This window comes from Homo sapiens, chromosome 15 (assembly GCF_000001405.40).
Source record: "Homo sapiens chromosome 15, GRCh38.p14 Primary Assembly".
Taxonomy (NCBI): Eukaryota; Metazoa; Chordata; class Mammalia; order Primates; family Hominidae; genus Homo; species Homo sapiens.
In genome coordinates this window covers 87,997,964-88,010,452 of record NC_000015.10, presented here as the reverse complement: position 1 = coordinate 88,010,452, position 12,489 = coordinate 87,997,964, and the positions used below count along the sequence as shown (strand labels likewise).

At 41.6% G+C, this 12,489-nt stretch overlaps 1 protein-coding gene across 25 annotated transcripts in view; it reads left to right on the top strand.

Annotated features, from left to right (window-relative positions):
- NTRK3 (neurotrophic receptor tyrosine kinase 3) overlaps positions 1–12,489 on the top strand; it is a 396,989-nt gene that overhangs the window by 246,287 nt on the left and 138,213 nt on the right.

Below are 12,489 nucleotides of genomic sequence, written 5' to 3'. Positions count from 1 at the left end.
AAATTGTTCTCCTTTCCCCAGGATACTCATATCTTAAATCATTATAGAGGCGGTGGTTGGAGCCTTGAGAATGAATTCACCCAGAATGAGAAATTGTAGAGAAGACCCGAAGTTCCAAGCCAGGACCCTGGACTGGAGCCGTGTTTTAGAGAAAGAAAAGAAAAGCAGATGGCAGGGCTATTAGAACGGGCAAAGGTGGAAAGAGTTTTCACAAGAGAGGTGATGTTGGAGGCTGAAGGAGTAGACAGAGACTGGACCCTCAAGTTGGGTTAGGAGCTGAGGCCTGGAAGCCTGGACTACAGGGGTGAGGGAGATCCCTAGATTGCTGGGATCTAGAGGGGGCTGGTCATGCCAAAACAGGCCAGAGAACAGAATAAATGGACAACATGGCCACTGAGCTTTTGCTTTGTAGATTTGAAAGAGATTTGGGGGCAAGCTCGACATCTAATCATTTGGAAGAAGATTTATTCTACTTTACTTTCTCCATGATGTTTTTTGGCTTGGATAAGTTTGGTGGATCTGAGGACAAAGGAATCCACTATATTGTTTGGAAGGAAAAGCAGTCTGTAGTGTGCTTTTTTCTCACTGGATCTGAGGAGATTCTGAGAACAGGAGCAGAGGTGCCTCCTGTAACACTGCAGTGGAGAGAAGGGTAGAGGCTACCTGTCCTAGTAGAAAAGTCTGGATTTGAGTTTCAACTCCAGCTCCAGTGCTTACAAGCTGCAAATCCTTTCACAGGTCATTTAACATCATATCTGCAAAGCAGCATCTTGTAGGGCTCCTGGAAGATAGACAGGTTGCAAAACAGCAGCAGGAGGGTCATGTGCACCCTATAGGGGTGTGTCCTGTGGCCTATGCAGAGCGTATCATTCTTTTTGAATTGGTTGCTAGCAAGTAAAACTTGACAAGGTTCACACAAAAAAATCTCTGCATTTCCAGTTTCTCTTGAAAGATAGAAGGATCTGTCAAAATTGGCTTGCATTTCTGCATGGCAACCATTAGGTGGAACGTAGAAGCAGTGGACCTTTTTCCAGAGCTTGTGTTCCCCTTTTTGCCAGAGTCTCCTTTTCTCCTTATTGTCTTACACCCAACTCTTTCTGCTCATCTACACTGCTCACCTGGCTTTTGTGGCCATTTTAGTTTGTGATTCTCTCTCTCCATTTTAAAAAAATAAGGAATAAAGGAAATAAATGCAAAGTGTTCTGCATATAGTAATAGCTTCATACATTCAATGTTAGCTAATATCATCATCATCAAAATTATCTTCATAGTTTTAAGCAATATGAAATTAATGTCCCTGATATGTCACTGAGGTAGGGGTTTCTCCATTGCCTCTTTAGCTATAAGCCTCAAAAACATGCAGACAATGACAAGTCTCTTCCCACTCAACTGGGGATCTCTTCCTTCTCAACTAGAGGTCCCCTGGAGGCAGAAAGAAAACAAAATCAGGAATCTGTTCTTCTTTAACCTGAGAGTAGAAATCCTTCTTCAGTCCTAATTTTTTTCTTCTCTAGGCCCGAGGGGGGCTGGTCTGTGAAGTCTGGGACATCTGAGCTACTGCTAATGGAAAGGGAATCTTCCAGCAGGGAGAGTGAAGGGAGGTGCTAAACATGGAGGTGGATCTTATATATTCCATTTCCGTTAGTGGTCAAGATAATATTTCAGTAATTGATATGCCTTTATGAATAATGGAGTGTGGATCAAAAGAATTGTAGCGTCTGTTTAATATGAAGAATCGCTGGGGGCCGAGCCCTGGTTGCTCCTCATCAGAACTGCACTGCCACCAAGAGCCTTGAGTGTCAGGAGACTGGGACTCAGAACTGGGAACTTAGTAGAATTTAAAATGTGAAGCACTTAAAGGTCATATAGTTCCATGGATAGTAAATATGTGTCCTCAGGAATCTGCATTGGAATCAACCGGGAGCTTTTAGAAACCACTGTGTCCTAGGGCCTAGGGTTCTTGGACCACTGTGTCCAAGAACCTCGGAGATCCTGGTTCTTGGTCTTTGTGTGGGGTCTGCCAGCTTCTCTCGGGGCTCACATGTACAAGTGAATTTGGCACTTGCATCTACTCTTGTTGCTTTACAGATGAGGAAACTGAAGCCCTGAGTGGTTAAGATACTTGCCCCAAGAGACCTAGTGAGTTGGTGGCATTGGTAGAAATAGAACCAGGTGTGCCCCACTTTCCTTTTTCACCTTAAATTTACCAGCTAACATTGAACACATGGAACTTCTCCAAGAGCCAACCCTGTTATGCTCTAAGGTTCTGGGAGTGTATTTGCTCTCTGTGAGTTTTAGGATTCTGCTCTTTTTCTTCTTCTGGAGAGATCCAACCCAAATTAATTTTAGTTACTTTGCTTCAGGGGACACTTCTCTTCTGAATAGGAACCTCTCTCTAGTGTATGGGAATAGTTTTGTTCCCTTAGATCTCTGTATCTCTAGAGATATGTGGCCAAGTCATCCCAGTAGATAATTCCTTGGCAAATCTTCTGTGCCCATGATTCTAGGAAGCTACAGTCATAAAGGAGCATTTTCTTGGTAACAAAGGTCTAGAAATGCAGCATCATAGGGTATAAGGCACGTTAGGGGTCCTATTCATCCACCCATTTTACAGACGAGATTACTGAGGCATAGAGAGATCAAGTGGATTGCCCAAGAAACACAGCTGGTTTGTGTGCAGAAGACAGGAAGAATTAGAACTCAGGTCTTCAGATTCCTCTGCCCAGTGATTGCCTTGATTTCAATGAGCACATCTCTGGTGGTAGAATTTCACATGCCTGGAAACAGGCTTAAGACAAAAGATAAAACAGGCTTCCCAGGCACAAACCTTCTCTTGTTTCTCAACAAGTCCAAGTTAGAAAATCTTAGGATTGAAAAAGATACAACAGATCCTTGTGGGTGTGAGTCTCCTGTCCATCCCTTATAGGTGGCCATCCAATTTCAGATCGTTTTTCTAGTGACCAAAAGTCACTCTTTCCAGAGTGTCCAGTCTCCTTTCAGGCAGCTCTAATTGTGAAAAAGGTTGTCCTATCCTGGCCCAAGAATCATCTTTTTGGGGACCCATTCCCTGGTCCTGATTGTTCTGCCTGAAACCACTTAGCCAACAGTATGGTATTGTGAGCAGGATTTGATGCTGGGCACAACTGGGTTTTGGTTCCACCCTGCCGACTACTGGTTATGTGTCTTGGACTAGTCACTTCAGTTCTTTAAGCCTTGCTTCCTTGTCTGTAAATAAGGATAACAGAATGCCCATATAGGATAGTTATTATGAATATAACTCAAGCTATCATTGTATCATACCTAGAGCACATCCCAGCACATCAACCCCTTGGTTCAGGCTTGTCCACATTTTGGAGGCCGGGGGTCATGTCTCTCCTCACGCTAGGTTTTTTCATTTTTGTACTAAACCTTGCCATGGCCTCCATTTGTCCTCATGTGGTGTCAGTTGACACAGGTGGGCACAAGTGCTCCCTGTGCCTCTCCCAGCTGAGCAGACTCTCCTGAGATGGGTCTCAGTTGCTTTTTCACGCATGAGGAAGGCAACGTTAAAATTACTCGTGGGGTTATCTTAGTGGCTCTCTGATGGTGCTGTGTTCTGAAATCCACAGTTTGGAAACTAGCCGTCATGGGCTGTGCATGTGTGAGTCTGTATGTCATGTGTGCATTTGGAAGCCCAGCTGTGTGCCTCTGCGTACTTCTCTCCCTGTGTGCATGTGTTGTGCTCCTGTGTGCTTTCCCACAAACCTCAGTGTTCAAGCTACGGATGTACTAGCCCGTTTTCTTTTACATCAAGGAGATGCTCACTGCTTCTTCAAATCCCAGAATCATGCCATCCCATGGGGCAGGGCTTTTTGGTTCATCTCTTATTTCCACCTGAAGCCACATGTGTCCTGTGCCTGTGGAGGGCTGCTGCCCCCAGATAGAGCTGCCTCTCTGCTGAGGCTGCCACCAGCCACCAGCAATCCCTTTTCATGTGACCTGCAGTTGTGCATGATGATCTCTATCAATCCTTTTTCCCCAGGCTCCTGGTAGTGCATAGCATTGCACCAGGTGCTTCAGGAGAAAAGCTGCCTCCACTGCTAATCTGAAAAGCACTTTGCCTGGAAAGACACCTGAGACGTGTAAGATATTAATAGCTGCAGAAGTTTCATCCCTGTGTAATTTAAATCCCTTTCCCGAGGAACACTCTTACGGTGGGGGTGGAAGAGAAGGAGAGAAAAGCCTAGAATAATTATGAGAGGTTGTGGGAAAAATTTTTTTGGGGATGACTGAAATATTCTAGTTTAATCATCCACCCTGGTGCTTGCTGGATTTGGTAATGAACATTTTTACTTTCTCCTTAAAGTCAGAGGCTATTTTGACAGCTACAGATGCTGTAAATTACAAGTGTTCTGATATGGTCCTGTGAGAAGCTCTTGAAAAAGTGTTCCACTAAATAAGTTTGGGAAGGGCTGTAAATACCATCTGCCTCCTAGTGAGCCCCAGTGCACATCGGCATTTGAGGGGATGAGAGATCCTTCCTACAGAAACCTCTTATGCTCTGGTTATCCTTGGATTTACCATATTGATGTGAAGATAGATTTCCTCAAATGTATTGCCCTATCTCTGATAGGTTGCTAATAATGTTCAAGGGTAAAAACTTTGTTGAAGGGGAATGGAATGTTATGGAAATTGAAGTGTAGACTGTGTAGTTGTTGGGGTAGATGGGGGAGGGTCTCAGGCTTATTTTGGTAAGAGAGGGAGACTGCCTCCTAGCACCTTTTTCTGTGCTCTGGCCCTTAGGCAGTGGGATATACAGATGTCAGGTATTCCAGGATTTGTTGAAATCTCTCCTTTGGAGAGATTTGAGGTGGTCTGTTCCATGCATGGAGTCTAAAGTTGAGACAAGTCAAGGCAGTTATCACACAGAGTGCAGTGGGAGAGCCATGCAGAGGGTAAGATCAGGTGGCTTTGTAAAGGAATCCATGCAGAACAGTGTGTTTTAGGGCGGACAGACTTTAGGCTTTAAGGGCAGGCCCTTTGCTGGACCCATTGACAAAGTCACTGACAGCTGTTTGGAACAATTGCCTAGGAAAGCCTGTCCCCACAAGACTCTTGTCTTAACACAGGCATCCTAGGTGGTGATATTGTTACTCCATGGACTTCTCTGGGGCCATCAGAAGTCCTGAATGAACTGGGGGTCAAGCTCATGAAGCATCTGGCTCCTACTCAGGAAAGCATGGCAGCCTGTACTTAGGCTTCTCTGGCAGCACCAGGGTGTGTCCAGAAAGCATCAATCAGGGAAGAACAGTGTGAGTGCCTAATGAGGATGGATCCCAGTGAGCAAAGAGACCCAAATCAATAGAGGGAAAACAAATGCAGGTGAAAACCTTTGGAGTAACACGAATATAGGGTTAAAACCCAGCTCTACTTTCATACCTTTGCACAAATTACTTAAGCTCTCTAGGCCTCATTTTTCTCATCTGTAAGATGAGAATAATAAATACCACTTTGCTAGGCATTGGGAGGATGAAATGATTTCACACATGGAATACTCCAGCACTGTGATAAATTCCATCCATTCATTCTGCTGCCACAGATCAAGAGGAGTTGAATGATAGTGAGACCATCATTCACTTGAGCCAATCCTTCCCCTAGTGCTACGATTCTGATCCTGTTCACTTTTACCCCACTTTTTCAAGGGTGAGTCTCACAGAGCTTTTAAGTTTGGCCTCTCACACTCTCCCACACCTGCTAAATCCTTATAAATGTTTCTTCTCTTCCCTCAAACTTCCCTCACTGTCTTATTTGTTTCTTGCCCTGTGGAAGGCAGTAGGGTACACATTCTTCTTAGTGTAAATATGCCTTGAATTTGCACAAGGGCAGGACAATGTGTTCTTTTTTCCAACAGCTGTTTTGATGATGCTTGGCAACATGTTGGTATTTTTGGCCCGAGTAGCACATATTGAGACCACATCCTCAAGGAATACTTTTTGATCTCTCCCAAGTCTCTTTTCTAGACTGAATGGTTTGGATTTTCCATTGATGAAAAACATTCCCCTTTTCTTGCCCACATGAGAGTTTATCTGCCCGTTTTTCTGATCATCTCTCTCCTCTTGTTTACAGCACATGCAAAAGTCTCTTGGGCTCTTCCTATAGTTTATAACTTTTGTTTTAGTTTTATATTACCTGGAATAGCTTAGGATCATCTCAGAGGGACTCTGGCATAGTCCCTCTTGGAGATCAGGGATGCCAGGAGGGGCATTAAGGATGGAGAGATCAGGTGAATAGTGAAGGAGTGATACTGGACAAATTGTAAAGCTCTAAAGCTCCACCAGGTGGAGGAGGGCACAGGTGCTGAAAGACAAGAGAGGTAAGGGAAAGCCTAGAATCAAGTCAGAGGCACAGCAAACAGAAGTACCCCAAGCAAGCCAGTTAGACCAAGAGAGAGGCTCATTGTCCTGTCTTTTCTTTCTTATGGGTGCGTGGCCCTGAAGCAGGAGATTCTGCTCTTGAATGGGAAAGGGTTTTCAAGAGACTCTTTGACCAGTTCTCCATCCATGAGAATACATCTCAATTACCATGGAGACTTCCATCTTAAAAATAGCCATTGAGTGGAATCTTAGTGCAAAAAAAAAAAAAAAAAATCCAAATATATCATAACAGTTGGTTCCTTACACCCTTGTGCCTATTTACTCTTTTGAAGATTTTCATGAGGTTTGACTTTTCCTTATGGAGAAAGTGTTTGTTCCTCCATATGTTATATTGGCTTAGCAATGAGTGATTCCCTGGTTGAAACTTTGTTCCACAGTCCTCTTTCTTCTCAGCGGAGCAGTGCATTGTAGTAGTTAGCTGTGTGATTGTTGGAGGCATCCTACCTGGGCTCAAATCTCAGCTCTGCATCCTGGTAACCATGTAACATTGGCAAGTTACTTAACCTCTCTCTATGCCATAGTTCTTTCACCAGTAAAATTAGACCAATATGTTACCTACTTCATGGGATTCTAAGGTTTAAAGGAAATAAAACCTGCCAAGGACTCAAAACAGTGCCTGGTGCAAAGTTAGCTCTCAGATCATGCCAGTCAAGAATTTTCTCTAGGGAGCTCTGACGCACACTGGCATACAGTTTACCTGTGAGACCTTGGCTCTGCTGGAAAGGACCTTAACATTTTGGTCAGCAGGTCTACAGGTTCATAGTATTGTTCAAAGCTCATAGTTGGCTGCTTCTACGCCTCCCAGTTTATCTCCTATATAATTGTCAGTTAGATCTAGACCATTCTGTGTGTGTGCCACACTTGTGTGCTTCAAAAGACAAGTGAGTGGCTAGCATTTGATTGCCTTGTAAAGAATTAGTCAAATAACTTAATGATTTTTTTTCTAAATCTTTCTTGCTTCTTCTCAACCTTAAGCATGCCCTTTGCTCTGTGATTATTGGGTGGAACCAAAGATTCATGTGCTGGCACGCTGCCTTTGATAGATTTAAAGTCTTCTCTCTGATCTTGGCGGATTTTTGAAAAGTGGTACTTGAGGTCTGGGACTCATTGAATATCTGATTTGAGCTTGCTGGCAAAGGTCCCCACTCCCCAGGCTTCCTTCCTCTTTCTCTGGCTTGGGGAGTCTGCTTTTTGTTTTTTTTCCTTCAATAGGCCGTAGTTGTGATAGGCTGAGATTCACCTGGTTAGTCATGCTTGTTTTAATTTTCTGTTGGTTTAAAGGATGGATATTTTGATTCATAAGAATCTTGTTTTCTCCGGGCTTCTAGCAAGGTTTTTTTTTTTTTTTTGCATAGCTTCTCATGTTTTCTGTTGAGTCTTAGTTTTTAAAAAACTGTCTCTTTTTATTTCAAGGTGAGAGTTACAGTGAAATTGTATACCTTTGTTTGTTGCTTTGTTTGCCATTCCAGGATCAAAAATCTATCCTAAGAATTAAAGCAGAGATCTCAGATTCTCTGAATGTCAGCTTCTAGTTTGGTGTTAGTTAGATATATTAATTGGGGAAGGGCTTCCCTACCCTCTGTAGTTCCTAGCAATCTTAGTCATCAGGGATGAGGGCTGGGGCACATAAACACTATCACAGATTCACCATTTCCTTGAGGGCAGGGTCACTTTGCTGGTGGAAATTTTTTGAACAAGGCCTTCCATTATCCATCCTTGGCTGAACTTATGTCTTTCTTTTGAGATTTTATGATGGTACAGTTCTCCTGTGTGAGCCTGAATGCTTTATAGCTTGAGGAGTTGAGAAAACTCGAAATAGTCCAACTCTTAGATTTTCAGTTTGGAAAAAAAAAAAAAAAAAAAAAAAAAAACAACCACTATCCTTCAGAGAGAGAAAATCCCTTTACAATACACCTGGCCAACATTATCATCCTTCTCTGGGAATAATTCCAATGATGAAGAGTTCACAATCTCCCATGGACTTTATTATATCAATGCATAGATATCTATACTCATTTTTACTCTATTTTTAAATCAAATATCATTTTCATTCAACAACTGGCATGTATGTATGTATATTGATTGGAAGAATTAATATTATTAATATACCAGTACTCCTTAAATTGACCTGCAGATTTAACCACAGTCTGTCAAAATTCAGGCCTCTTTTTTGCAGAAATTGACATGCTGATCCTAAAACCTATAGGAAAATCCAGAAGATTCAAAATAGCCTAACAAACCTGAAAAAGAAGAACAAATTTGGAGGTTCTAACTCCTCAATCCCAAAACTTATTACAAAGCTACAGTAATAGAGACGATATGGTACTGCCATGAGGATAGACATAGATCAATGGAGTAGAATTGAGAGTCCAGAAATAGACTTGTACTTTTGCGGTCAACTGATTTTTCAACAATGTTGCCAAAACAATTCAAAAAGGATATAATAGTCTTTTAAACAAATAGTCCTGGGACAATGAGCTATTCACGTGCTCATTGTGAACTTGGAACCCCTACCACATACCATATACAAAAATTAACTCAAAATGGATCTAAGACCTAAATGTAAGCATTGAAACAATAAAACTCTTAGAAGAAAACTTAGGTGCAAGTTTCTGTAGACTTGGATTAGGTAATGATTTCTTATATATGACACCAAAAACACAAGTAACAAAAGAAAAAATATATATATCAGACTTCATCAAAATTGAAAACTTTTTTGCTTCAGTGGACACCAACAAGAAAATGAAGAGGCAACCCACTGAATGGTAGAAAATATTTGTAAATCATATCTGATAAGGGAGTAGTATCCAGAATATATAAAGAACACTTACAACTCAATAAAAAGACAACCCAATAAAAAATGGGCAAATGGTTTGAATAGACATTTCTCAAAGAAGATATACAAATAGCCAATAAGCACAGGAAAAGTTGCTCATTATAATTAGTCATTAGGGAAATGCAAATCCACATTGTAATATCATTTTATACCCACTGGAATGGTTACAATAAAAAATGTTGGACAGTAAAAAGTATTGGTGAGGATGTGAAGAAAGTAGAACCTTTACACCTTAATGTTGGTAATATAAAATGATGCAGCTGCTTTGGGAAATAGTTTGACATATATTCAAAAAGTTAAACATTGAATTACCATATGACCTACCAATTCCACTTCTAGGTGCATAATAGAGAATTGAAAACGTGTTCATGCAAAAACTTGTACATGAATATTCACAGCAAGATTATTCATAATAGCTAAAAAGCAGAAACAGTGTAAATGTTCACCAACTTAAAAATGGACTAAGAATATAATATATCCATGGAATATTATTGAACCATAAAAAGGAATAGAGTATTGGTACTTGCTACAACATGGTTAAAGCTTGCAAACAGTATGTCAAGTGAAAGAAGCTAGATTCAAAGTAACTACATATTTAATGATTCAATTTCTATGATTTGTCCAGAATAAGCAAATCCATAATACCAGCAAGTAGATTAGTGGTTGTTTCCAGGGGTCAGAGGCACACAGGGTGATGAATAACTGCTAATGGATATGGTTTATTCATGTGTATGTGTGTATGTGTGTGTGGTATAGTTTTAAAGGGTGAATTTTATGTTTTGTGAATTATATTTCCATAAATGATTCTAAGAGAAAAAAACCCTGCCTGGTATACACTGCCCTATTGGAAGAGATTCTTGCACCTGACCTTGCATGAGCTCCTTGTTCGATTGTGAGAATTCTCAGAGGAGGGGGCTGGGGCCAGCATGACAGTGTTGAGGGTCTGAGTACTCAAGGCAGGGGCTATTTACTAACTAGTATGGACATATGTCGACATTTTAACAAAGAGTGTGAATATACAGCTACCTGTCCACTATTAGTCCCTACCTGTGTCTAAATCCTCAGACTTCCACTCCTGGATTACCCCACTGGGGGCAACAGAAAGTGTATATACACCCCTACACATTTCTTGAATATCACCATCATAGCACTAAGAAGTCTGATACTTGAATATCACCATCATAGCATTAAGAAGTCTGATAAGTATCACTATCATAGCACTAAGAAGTCCAAGCCCTGTACTCTCAGATCCCTAAGTCTGTGGGTCAGGAGCTGATTAAATCAGCATTTCAATTAATATTTTGGAGTAGGTCCTTATAGAGGATGGTGGAAATTTGTCTGGTTCTATGGAATCATATTGCAATGTAATAGAAATACCTCCTCCCTCCCTCTTTGATAAGAATCATTTGTATTCTTTAGTAAGCCTCTATTGTCTGTCCCAGTGCCATCTTCCTCATCTGAATTCAGAATTCCATGAGCCTATCCTAAGTCTGAAAGATGTAGTCTTAAAGATAAACTTTTCCAATTTAGTCATGTCCTCAGCTCCTTATCATGCCCCTATCCACAGCAGCTTTTTGTGATAGGGCCTGCCATATTCCTCCCAGGGAAATATCTACATGGCTCGATGCATGGGAAATAAAATTTGCATGAAGGAAGAAAAGACATCTACATGTTATTTATTCAGTGACATCCCATTTCATTGCAAAAAATGTTTGAGGTGCTTTGCAAAAATGCAAATGTAATGCAACAAAGATGAATAATGGGAGTGACAGTATCTGGTAATAGTGGGGGATACATGTAAGAAAATAAAATTAGTGGCAAGTTTAGACTACTAAGTACCTGCTGCTAGAGGGACCTTAGAGATCTGGCTCTGGGCATCCTAGTGGCCAAGGAACAAAGGTAAGCATCAAAGGTTACAGGCTGTCATTCAGAGGAAGAATATCTTTTCCATTGTTCAGAGGAATAGTGTGGGGATGCAGTATTATACTTTCCAGCTTCCTGACAGTAGATCTAACAGTGCACCTCTTAGGGGTGTTTGTTAAAATATCCTGTGATGCAAGTCAGTGGCTTCATGTCCAAACCCACTTCATAAAGTAGGTGGGTTGGCATGGGGGAGAGAAGCTTTGAGAAGCACCCACAGGAGCCTTTCATACCCTGGGCAGACTAAGGCACTGCTTGGAAATGGGGATCCTTTGGGAAGCCCCATTTTTGAGGATTGATTGAATTGCCTTCCTCCATTGCAGTACATCACCTCTGGGGCCTTACTGGTTGGCTTTTGCAGCCAGCAATCCTCCTCCCCCCACACTCCCTACCAGCAAGGCATTTCTTTCCAGGGTTATTGGAACTTCATCATGTGAGGCAGTAAGTCATTGCAGTCCAGAACAAATCTCACTTGACATTTTTATCTTGACTCTTCTGGGGGCCTTTAATTAGCATGATTGCAGTGCAGGCAATTGTTTCAATGGAGTCTGTGTTGCTCTTGGTTGGCATAATGGCTATTGAAGTTTCTCTATTTGCTGTTTCTGGCCATCCAGGAAAGATTCTGATTAAATAAGTAATTAAACTCCCTAATGTGGTATAATAAGGGGTGGTTGGCTGTGAGTTTACATGGATTAAAAATGCATCAGAATATGGATTCATATAGTTATAAAAGCATCACTGCTTAAAGTCCAATGTGACTTGTTTGCACGAGAGCTCCCAGGACTTCCAGAGCTCTACAACAGCCACTGTATAGACATCTGAAGCTGGCATCGCCACTGCCCCATAACACATACAGCCACCATGTCCTTGGCCATGTGGCCATGATGCACACAACTACAGCAGGCAGCTATGACATTCTCAGCTCTTGTTAATGGTCTATGGGCTTTTAGGAGCAGCATCAGTATATGTTATGGTTAAACATGGAACTCAGCTAGCATTAGTGGTCCTGATTCTCCCAGTTCCTGAATCATAAGCTGCAGTGAAAATTTCCTACTTGTAGCAGTGGTTCTCAACCAGGGTGATTCTGTCCCTAGGGGATTTTTGACAATGTCTAGAGACACTTTCGATGATCACAATGGGGTGGAGGATGCTATTCACATCCAGTGAGGAGAGACCAGGGATACTGCTAAATATCCCACAATGCTCAGGACAGCCCCCCAAAACCAAGAATTATCTGGTCCAAAATGTCATTGCACTAACATTCAAAGATAATTCCTACATTACCTTCTTTAGAGCTCATGATGTTTTTGTGACGGAGAA